The 27,535-nt window shown below is 38.4% G+C and overlaps 1 protein-coding gene across 1 annotated transcript, besides 1 other annotated feature; it reads left to right on the top strand.

Moving 5' to 3' along the window:
* The first annotated feature begins 8,815 nt into the window (after window positions 1-8,815).
* Window positions 8,816-12,272, top strand: STRIT1 (small transmembrane regulator of ion transport 1). The gene is made up of 3 exons (NM_001352129.2): window positions 8,816-8,879; window positions 11,461-11,559; window positions 11,653-12,272. Exons 1-2 carry the CDS (start codon window positions 8,867-8,869, stop codon window positions 11,553-11,555), a joined length of 108 nt encoding a protein of 35 aa, NP_001339058.1. The 5' UTR covers window positions 8,816-8,866; the 3' UTR covers window positions 11,556-11,559; window positions 11,653-12,272.
* Window positions 20,126-20,668: an enhancer, noted in NCBI's record as "OCT4-NANOG hESC enhancer chr3:154999620-155000162 (GRCh37/hg19 assembly coordinates)". NCBI's record gives its function as "activates a minimal SCP1, AML or CMV promoter by ChIP-STARR-seq in naive H9 embryonic stem cells {active_cell/tissue: H9 hESC(naive)}" and the evidence as "EXISTENCE:reporter gene assay evidence [ECO:0000049][PMID:30033119]".

Here is a 27,535-nt window from a genome sequence, read left to right as displayed (position 1 = left end):
AGAATGACACTGAGACAACACTCTATTTTTATGTCTGTCTTTATCAACATTAAAATATTAGGGAAATAGAAAAATTTAGGTTGAAAGCATATTTTATTACCTGCTTTGCAAATGGCTTTAAGATTAGGTAATATCTTTTAGAATAAGAAATAGATAAATTAATGCTCACTTTTGGGCATACCCTCGCCAAACTTTTTCAACTTTTATGCTTAAAGTAGGGTAATAATAGGGATCTTCAAACTGGGTTCCAGAAAAAGGGATTTCGTATATAATCCCTGAACACCTCATGTCGTGTATCATATATAACCCCAAACACACCATGCTATGTGTTAGATTCAACTCCTGAACATATCATATCACCAGGTTGAAGTCATGGATACCAAGAAAGCAGCATGGTGGTGGGAGGTTGTTTTCAGACAAATTCTGACGTTAGAAAAATCACCTCACCTTCCTATGCATTAGTTTGTTCCCTCCTATGTGTGTGATTGGACTAGATGGGAGGTTTCTAAACTTTTTAGCACCATGACCCCAAAATATGATGCCATATCATACATGACTTAGTGTGTTCAGAGGTTATATATCATACATGGCATGGTGTGTTCAGGGGTTATATATCATACATGATGGCATAATGCATTCAAGAGTTATATATGATACATGGCATGGCACATTCAGGGGTTACATTTGACAGAGAGATGCTATGGTTAAAGGAATTGAGGGAGAAAGGGATGTGGATGGCCCAGACTTCTTACCACCCTGCTCTCTCCTTCCCTTATGGAAGGAATCAGGATTTGGTACAAAATTTGCAGGGCTCAGTGCAAAAGAAAAATATGGGGCTCTTTGTTAAAAAAAAACAAAAAGTACATTAAATATACTAAAATATAAAGCTTTTTCCTTTAAAAATATTCAGTGAATTTCAAAATGTAATAGGTATAGACAAGATAAATTAGTAACATAAACTTACAAATTGTAAAAATAATATTTTTGGTGTCATAATTTTATGTAGTACAATATATAATACTTAATAATATGATATCATGATTATCGTAAGTTTTTTTCTGGCTCACATTTTTGCAAATTCACATACAGGTATTAGATCATGCAAATTTAAATTTTTAGCAACATCATTTTGTTTTTTTTTCTTCAACTTTTATTTTTATTTTAAGTTCAGGGGTACATGTGCAGGATGTGCAGGTTTGTTACATGTTGATTTGTGCACAAACCATCCCGTCACCTAGGTATTAAGCCCAGCATCCATTAGCTATTTTTCCTAATGCTCTCCCTCCTTCCACCACCCTCTCCAATTTTCAATCTATATAACTGAACACAGCATTAATTGCTCAATAACAGATTCAGGAATGAGCAGGGAGTTGAAAAATGGACTCCCACATCCCCCCTTATGTCCTGGCCTGATGATCAGTAGATATGGTCCCTCTTAGATGACCCTCAAAATGATCTTGGAAGCATGCAGAGGGGGATATCTGGTTCTTTGTAGATGTTGCTTCTCCTTCCTCTTTATCCCTGTTTATCATGGCTTAATGATAACAACTACCATGCATTGGGAACCTACTTCGTGTTAGGCTGGTGCTGAGAATTTTGTATATGTTTATCTCTAATTCTGTATGCTATGCTTATCATTTTCCAAATGAAGAAATAGACTCAGCTTGTGTGACCACTTAAGTTCATACAGCTATTATCAGACCTGACATTCAAACTTGATCCTAAGTCCCTGTTCCTGCCACAATATAGTGCTGCCTTTTGTTTTGAGCCACACTTTTTTGCTCTGAAATGCAAAGAGGAGTCTCCAGGGAGGAAGATCAGGTAGTCTGTGACTTCCTTTTTTTTTTCTTTTTTTTGAGACAGGGTTTCACTCTGTTGCCCAGGCTGGTCGACCCCCTGATCACAGGTGATCCCGCCACCTTAGCCTCCCCGTGGCTGGGACTATAGGTGTGCACACCACCAAGCCCAGTTAATTTTTAAATTTTTTGCAGAGATGGGGTTTTGCCATGTTGCCCAGGCTGGTCTCAAACTCCTCAGCTTAAGTGATCCACCCACCTCAGGCTCCCAAAATTCTGGGATTACAGGTATGAGACACTGTGTCTGGCCATAGTCTGTGATATTTTGTTGTCTCTTATTCATTAATCCCAATACATTTTATATTTGGACATCTCAGACCAAATAAACCTTGCTTGGTATGACTTGGCTCTGTGTCCCTATCCAAATCTCACGTTGAATTGTAATCCTCAGTGTTGGAGGAGGGGCTTGGTGAGAGGTGACTGGATCATGGGACTAGACTTCCCCGTTGCTGTTCTTGTGAGTTATTTAAAAGTGTATAGCACTTCTCCCTTTGCTCCCTCTTTCTTGCTCCAACATGTGAAGATGTGTCTGCTTCCCCTTCACCTTCCATCATGATTGTAAGTTTCCTGAGGCCTACTCAGCTATGATTCCAATACAGCCTGCAGAACTGTGAGTTGAATAAACCTCTTTTCTTCATAAATTACCCAGTCTCAGGTAGCTTTTTATAGCAATATGAGAATGGACTACTACATTTCTCAATACATTCTACTGCAATTTGCTGAATCCTATGGGACTTTGAACACAAATTCCTTCACACAACTTAGTCAACAAAAGTTGATAATATGGAAAAGTTTCATCCAACCTGTCAAAACTACACTAGTTAGATCCATCATAAACACAAACCTTGTTCTGGCTCATCCCTTGTTCCCCTTTTTGATGAGAATGTTGTTTAATTTCATATAATTGTGAATTTGCCAAATTTTCTTCTAAATAATGTGTATTGTGTTACTGTTTATTATTGTATTCAATAAATGCATATTAGGTCCAGTTGGCTTATAGTGTTGTTCAAGTTCCCTATTGCTGATAGTCTGTCTAGTTTTTCTGTCCATTATTATAAGCAGTATATTCATTCAACCATTATTGTTGAATTGCCTATTTGCTTCAATTTTGTCAGTCTTCATGTATTTTGGGGCTCTGTTTTTAGGTACGTATATGTTTATAATTGATTATTTTATCATTAGAAAATATATTTCTTTGTTGCCAGTACATTTTTTTCTTAAAATCTATTCCATCTAGGCTGGGTGTGATGGCTCATGCCTGTAATCCCAGCACTTTGGAAGGCTGAGGTGGGTGGATCATGAGGTCAGGAGATCAAGACCATCCTGGCTAACACAGTAAAACCCCATCTCTACTAAAAATACAAAAAAAAAAAAATTAACCAGGCATGGTGGCAGGTGCCTGTAGTCCCAGCTACTCAGGAGGCTGAGGCAGGAGATTGGTGTGAACCAGGGAGGCAGAGCTTGCAGTGAGCCGAGATCGTGCCACTGCACTCCAGCCTGGGCAACAGAGTGAGACTCCATCTCAAAGAAAAAAAAATCAATTCCATCTAATATTAATACAGTTACTCCATGTCTCTTTTGATTATAATTTGCATGACATGTATTTTTACATCTTTTTGCTCTCAACCTATTTGTGTCTTTGAATCTAAACTGTCTCTTACAGATAGCTTATAGTTGAATTACTTTTAAAAATCCATTCTGCCATTCTTATCTTGTATTTGGAGTGGTTAATCCATTTAAATGTAACTATTTGTAAAGTAGGATTTACAATTACTATTTGTTTTATGTATGCCATCTTTTTGTTTCTTTATTTCTTCATTACTGTCTTGTTTTGTGTTAATTGATATTTTCTAGTATATCATTTTAATTATTTTGTAATTTCTTCTGCTGTCTTTTTTTTGGAGTTATTTTCTTGGTGGTTGCCCTAGGGATTACAGTGATTATTTTAATTTATAACCATCTGGTTTTGATTAATACCAACTTAGTTTTAGTAGTTCACAACATCTTTGCTTTTATAGAGCTCCATTCCCTTTTTTGTGTTGTCATTTTAATTTAAATTACATTATTATATATTGAGTGTCACCAATACAGATTTATAATTATTGCAGTTGTCTTTTAAATTAGGAGGAAAAAAGAGTTACAAACAAAAAATACATTTATCATATTTTTCTATGTAGTTACCTGTAGAGATATTCTTTATTTTTTCATGTGGATTTTAGTTACTGTCTAGTGTCCTCTTATTTAATTCTGAAGGGACTCCTTTTAGTATTTATTGCAGGGTAGCTTTGCTAGCAACAAATTATCTCAGTTTTTGCTTAACTGAGAATGTCATAATTTTTTTATTTACTTTTTGAAGATTGTCTTGCTTGTTATAGAATTTTTGGCTAACAATATTTTTTCTTTGAATGTCATAACACTGCCTTCTGAGCTTCATGTCTTTTATTGAGAAATCAGCTGTTAATCTTATTGAGTATCCCTTGCATATAGTGAGTTAGTTATTTCTCTTTTGATGCTTTCAAGATTTTCTCTTTGTGTTTGTTTCTTTTCTTTCTTTCTTTCTTTCTTTCTTTCTTTCTTTCTTTCTTTCTTTCTTTCTTTCTTTCTTTTTTTTTGATAGAGTCTCACTCTGTTGCCCAGGCTGGAGTGCAGTGGTGTGATCTTGGCTCACTGCAATGACCACCTCCCAGGTTCAAGTGATTTTTGTGCCTCAGCTTCCTGAGTAGCTGGGATTACAGGTGTGTACCACCACACCTGGCTCATTTTTGTATTTTTAGTAGAGATGGGATTTCATCGTGTTGACAAGGCTGGTCTCAACTCCTGACATCAAGTGATCTACCTGCCTCCACCTTCCAAAGTGCTAGGATTATAGGCATGAGCCACTGCACCCAACCTGTCTTTGGTTCTTGACCGTTATTTTGTGTCTAGGTATTGGTCTCTTTGGGTTTATTCTACCTAGAATTAATTGAGCTTCTTGAATATGTACGTTAACATTTTTCACAAATTTGGGAAGCTTTTGGCCATGATTTATTCAAATATTTTTTCTGCCCTTTCTCTTCTTCTTTTAGGACTCTAATTATGCATATGTTGATATGCTTGATGGTGTCCCACAGATCTCTAAGGCCATATTCATTATTATTTTTTCTTCTTGTTTCTTGTACAGGATAATCTCAATCAAACTGCCTTCAAATTAACTGATTCTTTCATCTGCCTGCTCAATCTGCTGTTGAGCCTCTAGTAAAATTTTCATTTCAGTCATTGCACCTTTCAACTTCAGAATTTGTTTGCTCTTTTAAAAATAGTATTTATCTGGCTACTGATATTGTCTTTGCTGAGATGGCATTCTTTTGCTTTTTTTAGTTATTTGAAAATACTTAAAATAGCTGACATAAAGTCTTTGTTAGTCAGTCTAATTTATAGACCTTCTCAGAAATAGTTATTTTTGATAGTTTTTTTATCCCTTTGTATGGGCATACATTTTTGTTCCTTTGCATATCTCATAACTTTTTTTTGTTGAAAGTTAGTAGTTTTAAATAATGTCAACTCTTAAATCAGATTCTACCTCCTCCCAAGAGTTTGTTGTCATTGCTGTTTGTTGTTGTTATTATTCTGAACTGATTGTGTACAATTTGCATTCTTTGTTGTATGTGACCACTAAAATTTTTGCTCAATTAGATTAGTTATCAACTAATGATTGGACAATGATTTCTTTAAATGCCTATAACTAGTATGCCTTCCAGACTTTAATGATGGGCTCTGTGTATGTGTTGAGGTATGCCTTTAACACTCAGCCAGGCAGTTGACAACTGCCTTACCATTTGCTTTCCATTTTGAGCCTCAAGGTTAGCCAGAGGTGAAAGCTTAGGGCCTTTTCAGGTCTTTCCTAAGCATACCCACAGCCATGAGGTCATGCCCATAGCTGAACATATGCATGTAGCCTTCTAGATTCTTAAGGATATGTGAAACTTTTCAAACCCCTATTGACATCTCATTCCCTAGATTCTCCTTTTAAGCTTTTTAGTTAGCCTATTGTTCACTCTGTTACCTAGGCAGCTGTGATGTTAAACAATTGCCTCTAATTGTTTTCAACAAATGCCCTGGGAGTGGGTACTTTTCACACAGTGGAAGTTCTGAGTCTTATCAAATAAAGACAGCCTTGCAGGTGAGGTCTTTGGGAGAACCACCAGACAGTTTAAATAATTACTGTTCTCTGAAACTGAGACTTTGAAAGAGTTCTGTTCTGCTCTGTCTCCTCTGGTGGCTGCTAGTCTGCTAGTTTTCACTGAGATTTTGGGATATTGTTTAAGGCTGCTACAAAGCTGGAGATGGGGGAGATGAGAATAGGCCAAATTAAAACATCACAAAACTCTTGCTGTTCTTACCTAGATTCCAGCTCCCCCAGTTGCTGTAAGTCCTTGGTTAATTTCTACAATTCTTAAAAATTGATTCAAAAATTTTAGATGGCTTTCTTGGTGCTCTTATGAAGGAAAGATATTTTGGAGTCCCCCACTCCTCTATTTTTGCAGATGTCACTTTCTTTTATTTGTTTATATTCTTATTTATAGATTATTCTAATGTTACTGGTAATTAAATACACTGTATTATCTATATATGCATATATTATAAGGCTAGAGTATAGTTAAGATCATTTTATTTCTTATTACTCTTTTAGGTATTGCCATAAGTAAACCTTTGTTTAGAGTGCAAACTAAGCTACCTTATACTGCACTTATTACATCCACCTACCCAGTCAGCCAGCCATGAAGCAAAGATCCATGAGCATCCACCATGGTCAGGTCTATGTACTATAATTCCAGACATTAGTAGTGAAAAATATTTGAAAAGTGAAGAATTCTTAAATATTTTAAAGAAAAACCAAATATTTAAATTTTTCGGCTCACATATCTCTGAAGAATCTAATGTCACCTTGAGAATAAGGGATTTGAGAGCTAAATGTTTAAGACAGTATGTAAAGTAAAAAAGTAGAAAATGTTCCTAATTAGTATGTCCTAAGAGAAAGATTAGAAAACGGTCAAATATAGGCCCTTGGGTTTATAAGCTCAAAGTGAAACCAGTCTATTAATGAATAAAACATCCTTTCCTGATTAAATATTATAAAACTTATATTTTTTAAAAAATTTACTGATGATATAACCAAGGAAATGAGATTCTAGGTTGAATTCTTTTCTGAAGTCTGAGAAATTCATGTTGATTAAGTTAGTTTTTTCTCTTCTTCTTTCCATAGAAAAGTAAGGAAAATAAATGATGAATTATAAACTAATCCCTCCTCAAACTCCAAATTGACAGCAATAATGTTAATAATAGTCAATTTCATGTCAAGAAGAAAGCTTAATATAATTGAAATGGAAATGAGTATTTAAAATGTAGAAACCTTTTCATATGTTTCAGGCAAATTATTTTATTTTATTATGTATGTTTGTGCTCTTTGTGGGTACCACACTGTTTGTTTTAAATATCATTTTTTTCCTTAAGATAATTAGTGTTCATTTGAACTTACTGAATTAACATTTTTTATATTTAAATGAGATCAATAACATTTTTATTTCTTCTCTCTCTTTTGGCCTCAGTTAACCTTTGTTTAACGTATTATTATTTAATATTGAAAAAAATACCCAACTTTGCCAGGTAAGCAAGGGATTTTGTTGCATAAACAATACGTAGTTTTTCTGCTTACCTGACATAGCCAGACATTTTTTCAATATTAAATAATATATTGAGAGAGAGACTGAGGAGAGAGATGACAACTTGACATAAATGATATAAATGTGCCAGATTCTTGGCTGCACACTCTAATCTATAGGTACATTATTTGAGGTAGAAAGTCAAATGTTCTTCTTGCCTGTGAGAGTGGGAGGATTCTGAATTCATATAATAGCAAGGAGTTCAGTGTCACTGAAGTTATCACTGCAAATGGAAGAGTAGAGAAATAAGGGTTTTTAGGTGTCTAAACAAAGAGTTGGGATTTTTATTGTCTAGGAGATGAAGAACTATTGGTGGATTTTTGAGCAGTGATGGAACATGGTCATTTGCAAGGCAATATCACTCTTGGAACTCTGTGGAGATAAATTTGATCAGGCCAGACCTGCCTTTACAGGTCTTAATCTTATGTCAAATTTTTTTTGGGAAGATGCTCACAGGGTCACTCTGCAAAACTTTTCCAGCCAGATCCCCAATTTAAAGTTATTCCAATGAGAATATAGAGAATAGTCTAGGTCAGTTACATAAACCAGTTTGGACTTTGAAAAATGAAATGTCCTATTTTTATACATTGCTAATAAAAACAACAAGCTTATGACTGCTTCCTAAAAATTCTAGGCGACGTCTGTATTGTTTTAGTTTCTAGTACATTTATATTAACACTTTTTGTTTTAGAATAGTTCAAAGAAAGGGGCACCATTTCATTTTATGTTTTCCACCTGTAAAGTAATAAAGAACTGTCTACATTTCATACAGACTTTCATTTCATCTTTATGCGACTCCCATGAGTAGGTATTATTATCCTCATTTTAAAACTAAAGAAGCTGATTCCCAGGTTAAGCAACTTGGCTTTCATTACAGAAAGAGCTGGAATTTGAACCCAAGTCTCTCCAACATCAAAATCCTTTCTTTCTAATATATCACCCTTCTCCTTGATAGCACTTGTATAGGTGGAATGTTGTTTTTCCTCTGTACACCTTCTTTATAGAACATTTTCTTCATGTTACCTAAAGGCATGGTGCAAATTAAAAACCTGCGAATATCTGCATTAGGATAATTCAGCTTACCTAATTGTTTAGGTCATGTAGCCCCTCGTTTCCTCCATAATAATAGAATAAAGAGCCAGAGGAGTTCTGCTTTCCCATGACTTACATCACTCTGCAGACAATTGGCAGCCAGGAGACGGGCAGCTGCCGCAATCTTCAGATTTCTCTCTATTTAAAGTTCAAAGAGACGCTGGATAACAAAAGAAAGAGGTAAGCGTGGCCTGACCTAGCCACCCACCAACAGGAATAATGGCTGAAAAAGGTAAGATTTAAGGCATAGGATTCTCTTGGCAAAAAAAAAAAAAAGGCTTCTTGACTTTGGTTCATTTATGTTTCTTGGTGTTTCCCAGTCACTCTAAAAAATGTGATATCTATGCTAAATGACCATTAACCATATATGTTAGTGTGGCTGCAAAAATGCATTAATTATGTAATCTATGGATCAGGTCTATAGGTTATGAATAATTTTAAAATGATCAACAAAGGAAAAGAGCTTAATTTTGTTAATACTTATTTTGAAAGGTGAGTTAGAAATCAGTTCTCCTGATTTCAATTCTGAGCCAGAATTGAAGACAGTTAAGTTCTGTGTCAGACCTGCTAGTAAATGGCTATGTGAGTTTGCAGAAGTCCCTATACCTCTCTGAGTCTGTTTTCTGACAGTAAAATGAGAATATTGGGCTCAGGCATCTATTCCACACCTAAAATTTTTGTTCCACATCTAACTTTTTTCTGGTTTTTAAACATTTTTTTGTATTTATATTTTATAGTTATATAAAATAATTGATTCCAATTTGTCAAAAAGTTGAATATATACTGTATCTAAGAAATGGTTTTTAAATATTAAACAGGAATTTTTGCTTTGAATCTTGACAATGACCTTGTGAAATATGCATATCATCATCATCCCCATTTTATAGATAAGAAAATGGAGACACAGCAGTTTAGTAACTTGTTCATGATCGCTAAAGAGTGGTGGCACCAGGTGTTTAACCTGGACAGTCTTTTCCAGAGCACAGTGTCCTCAAGAACACTTCCAGCTGTAACTACTTTGATATGCTCAGAACTGGACAAGAGAGAAGCATTTTAGAATTACACTTCATGTTTAAGAGATGTTTTGTTCTTATTTGTGCTAGTAATGTAAGTGACATATGCAAAGTATGTTGTGCTCTTACGTATTTCTACTTCCAAACAATTCCACAGGTATTAGTAAAGTTGAAAACATTAGTGTTAAAAAAACAATGGAATGTATACTTTGGGTGTTAAAATGCACAGTTAGTGCTACTGGTACTATTTTACAAGGAAAGTAAATAATGAGATACTTTTAGGGCTTTGTGATATGTAAATTTTATTAAAATATGCATGTATAAAATATAAATGCACAATTAAAGGGTTAATATTAATTTTCAAATTCTTTGAAATTGGGAAAAATATAAAGCCACATACCTAGACAGTTCAAAAAAATTACTGCTATGTACTTCCATTGTAATGGTACCTTAATTCATAAAAAGGCTTTCGTCCAAATGAGAGTAAAGGGCAACTCATGTTGTTTGCTTTATCCTTAAGCAATACCACATGTCAAGTAAAGAGAAGAGTTTTCCATTTAGTGCTTAATGCCTTATACAAGGTCACAGTGAGATGGAGAAACAAGAAAAGCATGTTGAATTTTGTCAGTTAAGAGAGACTCTAGCATTCTTGGAAAAATTGATTTAAAGTATTAAAATTTATTTCAACTTCAGAAAGTTTGCTTTTATAAAAGTGTCTTCTAATTTTAAATGTGTCTCATCTCCTGATGATTTTATTTTAATAGCATTTTTAAAAATTTCACATTTTAAAGTGATGGAAATTGTAATAGGAGTATAATTGCTAAGAATATGCATTCTCTCTTTTAACTAATGGCATAAGATCTAATTATGCTTTGCAGTTAAGAATATATCTGAGTCCTTAACACAGGGACATTAATTCCATAGAATGTTTTTCTGCGCTCTTTCTAAATCTTTTTGTGTGATGTAGGTGTGGATTTCTGTGTGTATGCCTGTGTATGTTTGCTTGAAAGAACAAGAGTTACATGCAGTGCATACTTTAAAAAAGATACTTGTATAAATTGCTTTTTACAGGTAAGAGTACAAATAGGAGGCACAGAAGGAATCATATATAACAAACGCCATTTATGTGTGTGTTGGATTATTACTGCCCATTGATTCAGGTTCAGTGCTGGTTGTTATACTGAACAATTTTTAAACAATAGAAATTCTTTTCTGTAGTCAAGAATGGTTACATAATGTATGATACTTTCCTTTTCCCTGTGATATTTAAAATTACATTCAGCTATTGAGGCCAAGGACAGTTCTCAATACCTTTCCTTGTGTTATAATTATTTACTTTAGTGGGAATTGCCTCAGAGTTGTATTAGATTGTTTTTTATATAAATAGCTGCTGTATATGTTATTGCACAAATGCATGAATGTGTTCTGTATACACTAAACACACACGGTGGTTAGAGTTTACAAAGCTTTGCACATATGTTATGTCATTTGATGTTCAAAACTATTCCAGGAGGTAGAGAGCACAAGTTTCATTATTCATATTTTACCAGTAGGAAAGTTCAAGCCCAGAATTGCCAAAGGTCACATAACAGTAAAAGACCCATGGTTTGATTCAAAATACCCAGGGTTTATGACAGTCTCACGTATTCTCTGTAGAAAAGAAAAAATAATTATGTATGGGTATAACTAGAGAGTGTATGCTTTTTTCTTAATGTTACCAAATTCCTTTTATTCTCTTGACACAGAAAATTTAATATGAAAATGACCAATATAATCTGTTTTCTACGGTTTATTTTAAAGCGGGGTCTACATTTTCACACCTTCTGGTTCCTATTCTTCTCCTGATTGGCTGGATTGTGGGCTGCATCATAATGATTTATGTTGTCTTCTCTTAGAAAGGTAAGGGTTTTAATAATTGAATGTTTATTTATAGTCTAAATTACTCCAGAAACAATCTTTTCTATTTTACTAATGGAATGTTTTGTCTTTCAGGCAAGAAGATATCAGATTGACATCATTTAGAAGAATTAAGAAAACTATGAACATGACTGATTATTAAATGTCTCATGTTAAACAATGCAATGTTTGACATCACTTTACAAACTTGGATCATAAACTGGCACTTTGGTATGCATAAGAATTTCTTCAGGACAATAAGAAATTATGAGTGAATTTCTCTATATTCTGAGTGAGAAAAATGTTTAGCTGTGATGAAAAATGCATGTCATTAAAAAAAGTTTGATAAATTTAATCACATTACAAAAAATTATCCCCCCTTCCCTCTGGAAAAAACTATAGAGAAAGTGGGCTGAGGCTGTGCAAGGTGGCTCATGCCTGTAATCCCAGCACTTTGTGAGGATCCTTTGAGCCCAGAAATTGGAGACCTTCCTAGGCGACAGAGAGAGACCCCATCTCTACAAAAAAAAAAAAAAAAAAAAAAAAAAAGAAAGAAAATGGGCTAGAGATAAAAACAGACAATTCAGAGAACATATAATGTAAAAGTACACTTACTTAATCTCTTGTTCACAAAAAGAGAAATGTAATTAAAACTACACTGAGGAATTGTTGCTCACTTATCAGATGGGAAAAAAATAAAGATGTTTGACAACATATGAGTTGGTAAGACTGTGTGCAATTAGGCATTCTCATACATTGTCTTTGGGAATTCAAAATGGTACATTTTGCGGGATGTTTGGCAGTACATATCTATCAAAATTACATATATATTTAATTTTTGACTTAGCTATCCCTCTTCTAGGAATATGGCAATTTCCACAGGTACATGAGCAAAAATACAAAATGGCTCATATACAAGGCTATTTATTCTGGCATAATTTGTTTAGCAAAAACCTGGAAATAAGCCAAATATCTATTAATAGGGGATTAACTGAATAAACTGTGGTATGTCTACATAATGTAGTACTTACGCAGTTGTAAAAAGGAATGAAAAGGACTTTTAGATACTGATATGAAGAGATCTCCAGGACAAAAGTGTTAAGTGAAGAAGCCAGGTATAGGACAATGTATGCTACCTTTTATATGAGAGAAGAAGGGGCTATACCAATGTGTACATGTATTTGTTGAAATTAGAATATTGAAACTGAGGAGAAACAAATGGAGGCTAGATATCTCTGAATATGCCTTGTTTTATAGTTCTTATTTTTGGAATCATATAACTATTTTATAAGTTAAAAAGAAAAAAATAATTTCTCAAAATTGAAAACAAACTAAAGCAAATATGAGAGTATATCAAGTTGTGGCATAACCACACAGAGAAAAGACATATTTCATACATCTTTATAACAGCATATTTGACTGTACACCTCTTATGGGATAAAAATCTTAACCACATTCAGTAGTCTTTTTGTTCATGGTAATATTGATATGGTTGGTTTGAATTCATATCATCAGCATAAATTCAAGTAAATAATTGGTGATATTAAATCTGAATTGCAAATATCAGTATAAACTAATTCTTTTTCTTCTAAAACAAAAAGTCTATTCAAACTCTGTCCACTGGAAAAGCCTGGGAGGAAGGAGTCCAGTCTGTAAGTCCAGTCTCCACTCAAAGGAGGCAGGGATCCCTGCCCTAGTCTGGGACAGAAAATGTACAGTGTAATTTGCAATTTCATACTGAATGGATTAGTCTGATTATACCTGCACCCACTGATCAATTTAACATCACCAAAACTATTGCAACTCAACATTGTGTTTCTCCTGATAGGATATGGTAGAAAGTACAGAGTACCACCTATGAAGTATTCTTGCCAAAACAAGTGAACCTGAAGCAGAACAAGTTTCTGGATCAATCTACAAGGCTACTTTAAAGAAAATCATGAGGATATATTCTGCCAAGTCCAAAGTGTGGAAAATTATAAAGGATACATGATCTGGTTTTTCCAACAAATAGCTAACATTAAGAAGTGAGGTGGGGGCCGGCGCAGTGGCTCACGCCTGTAATCCCAGCACTTTGGGAGGCCGAGGTGGGCGGATCACAAGGTCAGGAGATTGAGACCATCCTGACCAACATGGTGAAACCCCATCTCTTCTAAAAACACAAAAATCAGTTGGGCGTGGTGGTGCATGCCTGTAATCCCAGCTACTCGGGAGGCTGAGGCAGGAGAATTGCTTGAACCAAGGAGCTGGAGGTTGCAGTGAGCTGAGATCACACCACTGCACTCCAGTCTAGTGACAGAGTGAGACTCCATCTCAAAAAAAAAAAAAAAAAAAGTGAAGTGGGAAAGGAGAAACTATTACAGAATAAAAGAGACTTAAAAGGATAGCCAACAAATGCAATATATGAATCAACTACAAAAGACACATTTTTGCATGTCTGTGATAAAGATATTAAGGAATTGTTATTTATTCTAAACATTACATGTTAGGATTTGAATATGGTTTGTTTTTCTCCACCAAATCTCATATTGAAATTTAATTCCCAGAGTGGCAATTTTGGGAGGCGGGGCCTAGTGGCAGATGTTTGGGTCACAGGAATGGATCCCTCCTAAAGGCTTGGTGCCTTTCTCTTGGTAATGAGAGAGTTCTCACTCCCTAGAGACTAGGATGGCTCCTTAGAAAGTGGGTTGTTATGAAGCGAGAATGCCCCTTGGGCTTGGCCCCTCTTCACACTTGGCCGCTTACCTGTTGACCTCTGCCATGTTTTGACTCAGCACAAAAGCCTCACCATAAGCTGAGCAAGATGTCAACACCATGCTTCTTATACAGCCTGTGGAATGAGCTTATTAAACCTCTTTTCTTTATAGATCACCCAGCCTCAGGTATTTCTTTTAGCAACACGAAATGGACTAAGACACTATAATAATGACTTGGCAATAGAAAAGACTCTTACCTGTTAGAGACAATACTGAAATAATTGCTGGTTAGATATTAGGATACCTTTACCTTAAAATATTATCTTAAAATATTCCTATAGAAAAACTAAAACTATAAAACTAAATTATAAAACTGAAACTATATAAAAACTTTAAAAAAAGCTAAAAAATGAAGTGGGGAACATTAAATAAGACAGGCAAAATGTTGACATTTGCTTAAGATGAATGGTGATCTCATAAGGATTTATTATACTCTTTATTCTACTTTTGTGAATATTTAAACATTTTTATAAGAAGTTTCCTTTTTCCTCCCGGTGACTCTGTGTTGCAAAGTGTAATTAATACAAGTGAGCAAAATTACACAAAATAAAACACAGTGCTGTTCCTGAACCTCACCCTGGGAGAGTCTGATTCAGCAGGTGTGCACTGGGTCCAGAAATCTGCATTTTAACAAATTCCTCCAGGGATCCTTGGGCACACTAAAATTTAAGAACCATTGTTTTAGAGAAGTGGTGCTCAGACTTTAGTGCACATCAGTATCCTCTGGAGAACTTGTTAAAGCACAGATAGCTGGACATCATTCTCAGAGTTTCTGATTCAGATCTGGGGTGGGAGCCTGCGAATTTAATTTCTAACAAGTTTTCAGGTGACGCTGCTGCTGCTGCCTTGGGATCTGTATTTTGAGAACTGCTGTTTAGAAGGGAGTTGATTTATTCCTCATAACTTTCACGCTATCTTCCATTTGATTAATTTCTCTACATAAATTAATCCTTTTATGAAAAAATTAGAAAAAGCTTTTGCTCTATTCATTGATTCTGATCTTTTAAACTTGGCTAAACACTTCAAAAATGCTTCTTAAATATATTTAGAGAAATATTTACAAAATTTAAGCAGAAAATGTACACAAAATCAGGCTCAACTCATTTCATTAATGACTTGCCCTAATTTAAGTTTTCTCCAGACCTGACAAAAACTAACTCACCTTCAATCAGAGGTCTTGCTGCAGTTGACTCCTACAGGCTTCTCGAAGCTGATTGTTAATATCTTCAGGAATTTTGTATTAGTCAGTGTCTCATCTGTAGCTTGAAACTGGCCATGGTGGAGTATGTACACCACAAAAATCAACAAATGCTATATATTAGGATTTGTTTTGCTAAATCGCCAGCTCCTAAACATTTACCAGCACACCACTGCCTTGAATCCTTTTGTCTGATGCTTATACAGGTTTGTCAGGGATTCAAGACCAGCCACTTTTGAAAAAAAATCTTCTTGAGATAATTAGAAAGATGATCTCTTCATTTACTTGAGCTCTTTTTGTGCTATAGACTTTAATGAGAAATCTGTGAAAGCTATAAACTCTCCCAGAAACCAAACATTCAAAAAACATTGCAGATACTATTTCAAGGTGTTTATGGACCTCTTGATATCTATAGAAAAGACACCTTGGGTTAAGTAACTCCTTAAGTGTTTCCTACTTTCTGAAGCCTTTAGGCTTCTTCACAACTTGGCTCCAGTTTTACCTGGAGTTAAAGACATGTCCTCATGTTTAAGCTTTCTTTCTAGATAAAGACCAGTTTTTCTTTTTACCCTTTTAAAAAAAATTGTTATTTATTCATTTATTTTAATGGACAAAAAATGTATATATTTAGGGTGTACATATTTCAATATATGTATAAATTATGGAATGACTAAATCAAATTAATTAACATATATGTTACCTTGCATACTTATCATCCCTTTGTGGTGAGAACATCAAAGTCTACTCTCTTGCCCCAGTCAATGGCACATGCCCATAGGTCGTAGCTACTTAGGAGGCTGAGGCGAGAAGACCACTTGAGGCCAGGAATTTAAGCCTTCAATGCATTATGTTCATGCCTGTGAATAGCCACTGCACTGCGGCCTGGGCAACATAGCAAGACCCCATCTCTAAAACAACAACAACAACAACAAAAACTACTCTCTTAGAAATTTTTAAGTATATGATACATTGTTATTAATTATAATCACTGCATTGTGCAATAGATCTTCTGAACTTATTTCTCCCGTCTAACTAAAATTTTGTATCCTTTGACCAACATCTTCAATCCCCACCCACTCCTCCCTCAGACCCTGGCAACCACCGTTTTATTCTCTGCTTCTATGAGTTCAATTTTCATTTAAAATCCCCATATAAGTGAGATAATTTGGTATTTATCTTTCTGCACCTGGTTTATTTCACTTAGCGTAATGTCTTCTAGGTTCATCCATGTTGTCAAAAATTACAAAATTTTCTTCAAGGCTGAATAACATACCATTGTGTATATATACCACATTTTCTTTATCCATTCACCTGCTGACAGACACTTTGGGTGATTTTATATCATGGCTATTGTGAATAATGCTGCAATAAACATGGGAGTATAGATGTCTTTTTGACATACTGCTTTTATTTCCTCTGGATATATATCAAGTAGTGGGATTGTTAGATCATATTACAGTTCTGATTTTAATGGAAACGTTTTCTCTAACGGAAGACTGGGTGTTTCTATTACTTCTTTCTACTGACACAACTTGGCATTACCAGTCAGCTTTTTTGATTTCTTTGGTTTTTAAACAGACAGGGTTAGAAGACAAAATATCGTGGCAATCTATGTCCTATGTTTGTCAGAGTAACTTTCCTTTCTTTAGTCTGGAGTATTTTTCTCCACATGCACTGGTCCTTTTCTTTAGCTCACTGAAGCTATAGACTAGCTCATTTCTTGCTCAAATATGTGCACAACTTCCTCTGAAACACAGAGATCTTCAGTTTTCCCAGAAATCTTTTTTTTTTTGAGGGAGAGTCTTGCTCTGTTGCCCAGGCTGGACTGCAGTGGCATGATCTCGGCTCATTGCAACCTCTGCCTCCTGGGTTTAAGCAATTCTCGTGCCTCAGCTTCCTAAGAAGCTGGGATTACAGGCATGCACTACCACGCCCGGCTACTTTTTGTATTTTTAGTAGAGAAGGGGTTTCGTCATATTGGCCAGGCTGGTCTCAAACATCTTGCCTCAAGCAATTTGCCTGCCTCAGCCTCCCAAAGTGCTGCGATTACAGGTGATTTAGCTGATCCCATAGACCCTAAGTCCTTTACCCATTCTTCCTCTCATTCTCTCAAAAAGGCCCTAGAAACAGCTCCCACACTAGCACTCCCTGACTTATCCCAACCTTTTTCCTTACACACAGCTGAAATACAAGGCTGTGCTGCTGGAGTTCTCACACAGGAGCCAGGCCCACGACCTGTAGCCTTTCTATCCAAACAACTTGACCTTACAGTTCTAGGCTGGCCCTGATGTCTACGTGCGGTGGCAGCTGCCGCTTTAATACTTCTAGAGGCCCTCAAAATCACAAGCTATGCTCCACTTACCCTCTACAGTTCTCACAACCTTCAAGCATTAATATTCTCCTCACACCTTTCACACTTGCTGTCTGCCCCTCGACTCCTCCAGCTCTATTTACTCTTTATTGAAACCCCAACAGTAACTATTACCCATGGGCCCCATTTCAACCCAGCTTCTCACTTAGCACCCAGCACAAGTCCTGAGCCACATGACTGTATCTCCCTAATACACATAGCATCTTCCCCCTTTCCTCATATTTCTATTTTTCCAATCCCAAACCCAGACCACACTTGGTTTATTGAGGGCATTTCTTCTAAACCCAACCAATTCTTGCCAGCTAAATCTGGTGATGCTGTTGTGTCCCACACCTCTATTATCGAAGCTACTGCACTTCCTCCCTCCACTACTTCCCGACCAGCTGAACTGAGTGCTTTAACTCGTGTGCTCTCTCTTGCCAAAGGAATGTACATTAACATTTACACTGACTGCAGATATGCTTTCCACATCCTCCATAACCATGCTGCCATTTGGGCTGAAAGAGGTTTTCTCACCACACAAGGCTCTTCCATTATCAATGCCTCTCTAATGAAGGCCCTCCTTAAGGCTGCTCTCCTGCCTGCCAAGGCTGGGGTCATTCATTGGAAAGATCATCAGGAACCAACTGATCTTATTGCTAAAGGAAATGCCTATGCCGACAGGACAGCAAAAGAAAGTAAATGCCTCCACACCCGCAAATATTCCAGCCCTCACTCCAAAAGGCCAGTATTTTTCTTTCTTCTCTATCACCTCCACCTACTCCTCTTCTGAAAACCTGCTCTACCAGTCTTTTCCAACTCAGGGCAAGTGGTTCTTAGATCATGGAAATTTCATTCTTCCTCAGCTTAATCCAGGAGACAAAGATTATTTTACTTATTATCTCTCCTGCATAGGATCTGCAATCAGAACTATTAAACTTCTCCATTCAGACCTCCACTCACACCTATGGAAAAAGCGTGATATAATAGATCGTTGGCTTAACAACAGGGAATCCTATCATACGATGGGAAATGGGGACAAAAAGCTTTCGTATGTAAAACATTATTCCTTCCTTGGCCTAAAAAACTCACTGCCACCTACCTTAAAGGTATTATGCTTAATTGCTATTTTTAAAAAATTTTTCTATTAGGACAATTCCAAACTCAAAAATATGCTGACTGATGCCTTGTTAACCACATAAAATTGTACTCAAAAACTTTCTAGACCAACTTGCTATAAAATTAAAGTTTCTTTAGGTGCCCATGCCACCCCTAAGTCATGCTTGAAGCAGCCCTGAGAAACATCGCCCCTACCCCAATAACCCTCAGTAAAAACTTTCATTTTCTTTATCTTCTCTTATAACTTTATATTTTATAAATAAAAAGACAGGAATGTCAGGCCTCTGAGCCGAAGCTCAGCCATTATAACCCTTGTGACCTGCACATATACATCCAGGTGGCCTGCAGGAACCAAGAAGTCTGGAGCAGCCAAAAAACCACAAAGAAGTAAAACAGCCAGTTCCTGCCTTAACTAATTAACCCACCTTATGACATTCTATCATTATGACTTGTTCCTGCCCTGCCCCAACTGATCAATCCACCCTGTGACATTCTTCTCCTGGACAATGAGTCCCGTGATCTCTCCACCACGCACCTTGTAACCGCCTCTCCTGCTAACAATAGATAACCACATTTAACTGTAAATTTCCACTGCCTACCCAAGCCCTATAAAGCTGCCCCTCTCCTATCTCCCTTTGCTGACTCTTTTTTCAGACTCAGTCCACTTGCACCCAAGTGAATAAACAGCCTTGTTGCTCACACAGAGTCTGTTTGGCGGTCTCTTCACACGGATGCACTTGACACTCACCTTATGTTTTTGTTTGCTTTGTTGAAGATCAGTTGGCTCTAAGTATTTGGCTTTCTTTCTGAGTTCTTTATTCTGTTCCATTGGTCTATGTGTCTATTTTTATACCAGTCCCATGCTGTTTTGGTGACTATGGCCTTATAGTTTAGCTTGAAGTCATGTAATGTGATGCCTCCACATTTTTTTCTTTTTGCTTAGTCTTGCAAAAAGCAAGACTCTGTGGCCTCTTTTTTGGTTCCATATGAATTTTAGGATCTTTTTTCTACCTCTGTGAAGAATGATGATGGTATTACTCATGGAGGGTGTCCAGATTCTTGGCGTCTTGAACAAAGAATTGGACAAAATGCAAAAACAAAGCAAGGAAAGCAAAAGCAGAGATTTATTGAAAATGAAAGTACATTCCACAGGGTGGGAGTGGGCCTAAGCAGAGGGGCTCAAGAGACCTGGTTACAGAATTTTCTGGGGTTTCAATACTCTCTAGAGTTTTCCCACTGGTTACTTTGTGCATGCTCTGTGTAAATGAAGAGAATGAAGTGAAGTTACAAAGTCATTTACTCAGAATGCACCCTATGTAAATGGAGAGGATGTTACTTGGTGTGTATGATCTATGTAAATGGAGACGATGAATGTGAAGTTACAAAGTGTAAATGGTGTAAGTGGAGAGGATGGAGTGAAGTTACAAAACCATTCACATTCCTGTCATTGCTGAAGTGCTTCCATTTGATTTAATTCTAGGAAGTCAGCCTGGATCGGCCTTATGTTCCCTGCCTCCAGGCACTATTCTCCAGCCTCAGTGGTATTTTGATGGGAATTGCATTGAATTTGTAGGTTGCTTTTGGCAATATGGTCATTTACACAATATTGATTCTACCCATCTATGAGTATGGGATGCGTTTCCATTTGTTTTGTGTCATCCATGATTTCTTTCAGCAGTGTTTTGTAGTTTTCCTTGTAGAGGTCTTTCACCTCCTTGGTTAGATATATTCCTACGTATTTTATTGTTTTTGCAGCTTTTGTGAAAGGGGTTGAGTTCTTGATTTGATTCTCAGTTTGATCACTGTTGGTGTATAGCAGAACTACTGACTTGTGCACATTAATTTTGTATCCTGAAACTTCGCTGAATTTACTTACCAGTTCTAGGAGCTTTTTGGATGAGTCTTTATGGTTTTCTAGATATACAATTATATCATCAGCAAACAGTGACAGTTTGACTTCATCTTTATTGATTTGGATGCCCTTTATTTCTTTCTCTTGTCTGATTGCTCTAGCCAGGACTTCCAGTACTATGTTGAATAGAAGTGATGAAAGTGGGCATCCTTGTCTTGTTCCAGTTCTCAGGGGAAATGCTTTCGACTTTGCCCCATTCGGTATAATGTTGGCTGTGGTTTGTCATAGATGGCTTTTATTACCTTAAGCCCTTCTATGCCAATTTTGTATGTATGTCCCTTCTATGCCAATAGAAGTATGTCCCTTCTATGCCAATTTTGCTGAGGGTTTTAATCATAAAGGATGCTAGATTTTGTCAAATGCTTTTTCTGCATCTATTGAGATGATTATGTGATTAAAAAAATTCTGTTTCTGTGGTGATTCATATTTATTGACTTATATATGTTGAACCATCCCTGCATCCCTGGGATAAAACCAAATAGATTACAGTGGATTATCTTTTTGCTATGCTGTTAGATTCAGTCCGCTAGTATTTTGTTGAGAATTTTAGCATCTATGTTCATCAAGGATATTGATCTGTAGTTTTTGTTGTTGTTGTTGTTGTTGTTATGTCCTTTTGTGGTCTTGGTATCAGGGTGATACTGGCTTCATAGAATGATTTAGGGCAGATTCCCTTTTTCTCTATCGAAAAGGATTGGTACTAATTCTTCTTTGAATATCTGACAGAATTCAGCTGTGAATCCATCTGATCCTGGACTTTTTTTGTTGGCAATTTTAAAATTACCATTTCAATCTCACTGCTTGTTATTTGTCAGACCTCTGAGCCCAAGCTAAGCCATCATATCCCCTGTGACCTGCATGTGTACATCCAGATGGCCTGAAGTAACTGAAGAATGACAAAAGAAGTGAAAATGGCCTGTTCCTGCCTTAACTGATGACATTACCATGTGAAATTCCTTCTCCTGGCTCATCCTGGCTCAAAAGCTCGCCTGCTGAGCACCTTGTGACCCACCCCCCACTCCTGCCCGCCAGAGAACAACCCCCCTTTGACTGTAATTTTCCTTTACCTACCCAAATCTTATAAAACGGCCCCAACCCATCTCCCTTCGCTGACTTTCTTTTCGGACTCAGCCCGCCTGCACCCAGGTGAAATAAACAGCCTTGTTGCTCACACAAAGCCTGTTTGGTGGTCTCCTCACATAGATGAGTGTGAAATTTGGTGCTGTGACTCAGATCAGGGGACCTCCCTTGGGAGATCAATCCCCTGTCCTTCTGCTCTTTGCTCCATGAGAAAGATCCACCTACGACCTCAGGTCCTCAGACTGACCAGCCCAAGGAACATCACACCAATTTTAAATAAGGTAAGCGGCCTCTTTTTACTCTCTTCTCCAACCTCTCTCACTATCCCTCAACCTCTTTGTCCTTTCAATCTTGGCACCAAACTTCAATTTCTCCCTTCTCTTAATTTCAGTTCCTTTCCTTTTCTTGTAGAGACAAGATATGAGTTTTATCCGTGGACCCAAAACTCCGGTGCTGGTCACGGACTTGGGAAGACAGTCTTCCCTTGGTATTTAATCATTGCGGGGACGCCTACCTGATTATTCACCCACATTTCAGAGGTGTCTGACCACTTGGGAATGCCTGCCTTGGTCCTTCATCCTTAGTGGCAAGTACCACTTTTCTGGGGGGCAAGAACCCCCCCCAACCCCTTCTCTCCATGTCTCTACCCCTTCTCCGCTTTTCTTGGAGGGCAAGAACCCCCCGACGCCTTCTTTCCATGTCTCTACCCCTTCTCCACTTTTCTAGAGGGCAAGAACCCCCTGACCCCTTCTCTCCGTGTCTCTATCCCTTCTCCACTTTCCTGGGGGACAAGCACCCCCACCCCTTCTCTCCATGTCTCTACTCTCTCTTTTCTCTGGGCTTGCCTCCTTCACTATGGGCAAGCTTCCGCCCTCCATTTCCCCTTCTTCTCCCTTAGCCTGTGTTCTTAAAAGTCTAAAACATCTTTAACTCACACATGACCTAAAACCTAAATACCTTATTTTCTTCTGCAATGCTGCTTGACCTCAATACAAACTTGACAGTGGTTCCAAATAGCCGGAAAACGGTGCTTTTGATTTTTCCATCCTACAAGATCTGAATAATTCTTGTTGTAAAATAGGCAAATGGTCTGAGGTGCCTGACATCCAGGCATTCTTTTACACATCGGTCCCTCCCTAGTCTCTGTTCCCAATGCAACTCGCCCCAAATCTTCCTTCTTTCCCTCCCACCTGTCCCCTCCGTCCCAACCCCAAGCATCGCTGAGTCTTTCTAATCTTCCTTTTCTACAGACCCATCTGACCTCTCCCCTCCTCACCAGGCTGAGCTAGGTCCTAATTCTTCCTCAGCCTCTGCTCCTACACCCTATAATCCTTTTATCACCTCCCCTCCTCACACCCAGTCCGGCTTACAGTTTCATTCCACCACCTGCCCAGCAATTTCCTCTTAAAAAGGTGGCTGGAGCTAAAGGCATAGTCAATGTTAATGCTCCTTTTTCTTTCTCTGACCTCTCCCAAATCAGTTAGTGTTTAGGCTCTTTTTCATCAAATATGAAAAACTCAGCTCAGTTCATGGCCCGTTTAGCAGCAACCCTAAGACACTTTACAGCCCTAGATCTTGAAAGGTCAGAAGGCCATCTCATTCTCAATATGCATTTTATTTTATTACCCAATCTGCTCCCGACATTAAATAAAGCTCCAAAAATTAAATTCCAGCCCTCAAACCCCACAACAGGACTTAGTTAACCTCACCTTCAAGGTGTACAATAATAGAGTACAGGCAGCCAAGTAGCAACATATTTCTGAGTTGCAATTCCTTGCCTCCACTGTGAGAGAAACCCCATACACATCTCCAGCACACAGGAACTTCCAAATGCCTAAACCCCACGGCCAGGCATTCCTCCAGGCCTGCCTCCCCCAGGAGCTTGCTACAAGTGCCAGAAATCTGGCCACCAGGCCAAGGAATGCCCACGTCCTGGGATTCCTCCTAAGCCATGTCCCATCTGTGTAGGACCCCACTGGAAACTGGACCATCCAACTCTCCCGGCAGCCACTTCCAGAGCCCCTGGAACTCTGGCCCAAGGCTCTCTGACTGACTCCTTCCCAGATCTTCTTGGCTTAGCACCTGAAGACTGATGCTGCTCAATCACCTTGGAAGCCTACAGGACCATCACAGACACTTTCGGTAACTCTTACAGTGGAGGGTAAGTCCATCCCCTTCTTAATCAATATGGAGCCTACCCACTCCACATTACCTTCTTTTCAAAGGCCTGTTTCCTTTGCCTCCATAACTATTGTGGGTATTGACGGCCAGGCTTCTAAACCTCTTAAAACTCCCCAACTCTGGTGCCAACTTAGACAATACTCTTTTAAGCACTCCTTTTTAGTTATCCCCACCTGCCCAGTTCCCTTATTAGGCTGAGACACTTTAACAAACTTATCTGCTTCCCTGACTATTCCTGGGCTACAGCCACACCTCATTGCCGCCTTTTCCTCCAGTTCAAAGCCTCCCTCACATCCTCCCCTTGTATCTCCCCACCTTAACCCACAAGTATAAGACATCTCTACTCCCTCCTTAGCGACCGATCATGCACCCCTTACCATCCCATTAAAACCTAATCACCCTTACCCTGCTCAATGCCAATATCCCATCCCACAGCACACTTTAGAAGGATTAAAGTCTGTTATCACTCGCCTGCTACAGCATGGCCTTTTAAAGCCTATAAACTCTCCCTACAATTCCCCCATTTTACCTGTCCTAAAACCAGATGAGGCTTATAGGTTATTTCAGGATCTGCACCTTATCAACCAAATTGTTTTGCCTATCCACACCATGGTGCCAAACCCATATATTCTCCTATCCTCAATACCTCCCTCCACAACCCATTATTCTGTTCTGGATCTCAAACATGCTTTCTTTACTATTCCTTTGCACCCTTCATCCCAGCCTCTCTTCACTTTCACTTGGACTGATGCAGACACCCATCAGGCTCAGCAAATTACCTGGGCTGTACTGCCGCAAGGCCTCACAGACAGCCCCCATTACTTCAGTCAAGACTAAATTTCTTCCTCATCTGTTACCTATCTCGGCATAATTCTCATAAAAACACATGTGCTCTCCCTGCTGATCGTGTCCGACTGATCTCTCAAACCCCAATACCTTCTACAAAACAACAACTCCTTTCCTTCCTAAGCATGGTTAGATACTTTCGACTTTAGATACCTGCTTTTGCCATCCTAACAAAACCATTATATAAACTCACAAAAGGAAACCTAGCTGACCCCATAGATTCTAAATCCTTTCCCCACTCCTCTTTCCATTCCTTGAAGACAGCTTTAGAGACTGCCCCCATCCTAGCTCTCCCTGACTCATCCCAACCTTTTTCATTACACACAGCTGAAGTGCAGGGCTGTGTAGTCAGAATTCTTACACAAGGACCGGGATCGCGTCCTGTAGCCTTTTTGTCCATACAACTTGACCTTACTGTTTTAGGCTGGTCATCATGTCTCTGTGCAGTGGCTGTGGCCACCCTAATACTTTTAGAGGCCCTCAAAATCACAAACTATGCTCAATTCACTGTCTACAGCTCTCATAACTTCCTAAATCTATTTTCTTCCTCACACCTGATGCATATACTTTCTGCTCCCTGGCTCCTTCAGCTATACTCACTCTTTGTTGAGTCTCCCACAATTACCATTGTTCCTGGCTCAGACTTCAATCCAGCCTCCCACATTATTCCAGATACCACACCTGACCCTCATGACTGCATCTCTCTGATCCACCTGACATTCACCCCATTTCCCCATATTTCCTTCTTCCCTGTTCCTCACCCTGATCACATTTGGTTTATTGATGGCAGTTCCACCAGGCCTAATTGCCACTCACCAGCAAAGGCAGGCTATGCGAATAGTATCTTCCACATCTATCATCGAGGCTATCACTCTGCCCCCCTCCACTACCTCTCAGCAAGCCGAACTAGTTGCCTTAACTCAGGCCCTCACTCTTGCAAAAGGACTATGCATCAATATTTATACTGACTCTAAATATGCCTTCCATATTCTGCACCACCATGCTGTTATATAGGCTGAAAGAGGTTTCCTCACTACACAAGGGTCCTCCGTCTTTAATGCCTCTTTAATAAAAACTCTGCTCAAGGCCGCTTTACTTCCAAAAGTAGCTGGAGTCATTCACTGCAAAGGCCATCAAAAGGCGTCAGATCCCATTGCTCTAGGCAACGCTTATGCTGATAAGGTGGCTAGACAAGCAGCTAGTGTTCCAACATCTGTCCCTCATGGCCAGTTTTTCTCCTTCACATCAGTCACTCCCACCTACTCCTCCGCTGAACCTTCTACTTATCAATCTCTTCCCACACAAGGCAAATGGTTCTTAGACCAAGGAAAATATCTCCTTCCAGCCTCACAGGCCCATTTTATTCTGTCATCATTTCATAACCTCTTCCATGTAGGTTACAAGCCGCTAGCCTGTCTCTTAGAACCTCTCATTTCCTTTCCATCATGGAAATCTATCCTCAAGGAAATCACTTCTCAGTGTTCCACCTGCTATTCTACTACCCCTCAAGGATTGTTCAGGCCTCCTCCCTTTCCTACACATCAAGCTCAGGGATTTGCCCCTGCCCAGGACTGACAAATTGACTTTACTCACATGCCCCGAGTCAGAAAACTAAAATACCTCTTAATCTAGGTAGACACTTTCACTGGATAGGTAGAGGCCTTTCCCACAAGGTCTGAGAAGGCCACTGTGGTCATTTCTTCCCTTCTGTCAGACATAATTCCTCAGTTTAGCCTTCCCACCTCTATACAGTCTGATAACGGACCAGCCTTTATTAGTCAAATCACCCACGCAGTTTTTTCAGGTTCTTGGTATTCAGTGAAATCTTTATATCCCTTACCGTCCTCAATCTTCAGGAAAGGTAGAACTGACTAATGGTCTTTTAAAAACACACCTCATCAAGCTCAGCCACCAACTTAAAAAGAACTGGACAATACTTTTACCACTTGCCCTTCTCAGAATTCAGGCCTGTCCTTGGAATGCTACAGGGTACAGCCCATTTGAGCTCCTGTGTAGATGCTCCTTTTTATTAGGCCCCAGTCTCATTCCAGACACCAGACCAACTTGGACTGTGCCCCAAAAAACTTGTCATCCCTGCTATCTTCTGTCTAGTCATACTCCTATTCACCATTCTCAACTACTCCTAAATGCCCTGCTCTTGTTTACACTGCCGGCTTACACTGTTTCTCCAAGCCATCACAGCTGTTATCGCCTGGTGCTATCCCCAAACCGCCACTCTTAACTCCCTCTTAAAATAAATAAATAATCTTTGCTGGCAGGGCTATGCTGAACCTCCTTAGGCACTCTCTAATTAGATGTCCTAGGTCCTCCCAATTCTTAGTCCTTTCAAACCTGTTTTTCTCCTTGTCTTATTCCATTTAGTTTTTCAATTCATACAAAACTGTATCCAGGCCATCACCAATAATTCTATAGGACAAATGTTTCTTCTAACAACCCCACAATATCACCCCTTACCACAAAATCTTCCTTCAGCTTAATCTCTCCCACTCTAGGCTCCCACGCCGCCCCTAATCCTG

This window comes from Homo sapiens, chromosome 3 (genome assembly GCF_000001405.40).
Source record: "Homo sapiens chromosome 3, GRCh38.p14 Primary Assembly".
Classification (NCBI taxonomy): domain Eukaryota; kingdom Metazoa; phylum Chordata; class Mammalia; order Primates; family Hominidae; genus Homo; species Homo sapiens.
Note: the sequence above shows the minus strand (reverse complement) of the source record. Positions and strands in the feature narration are given on the sequence as shown.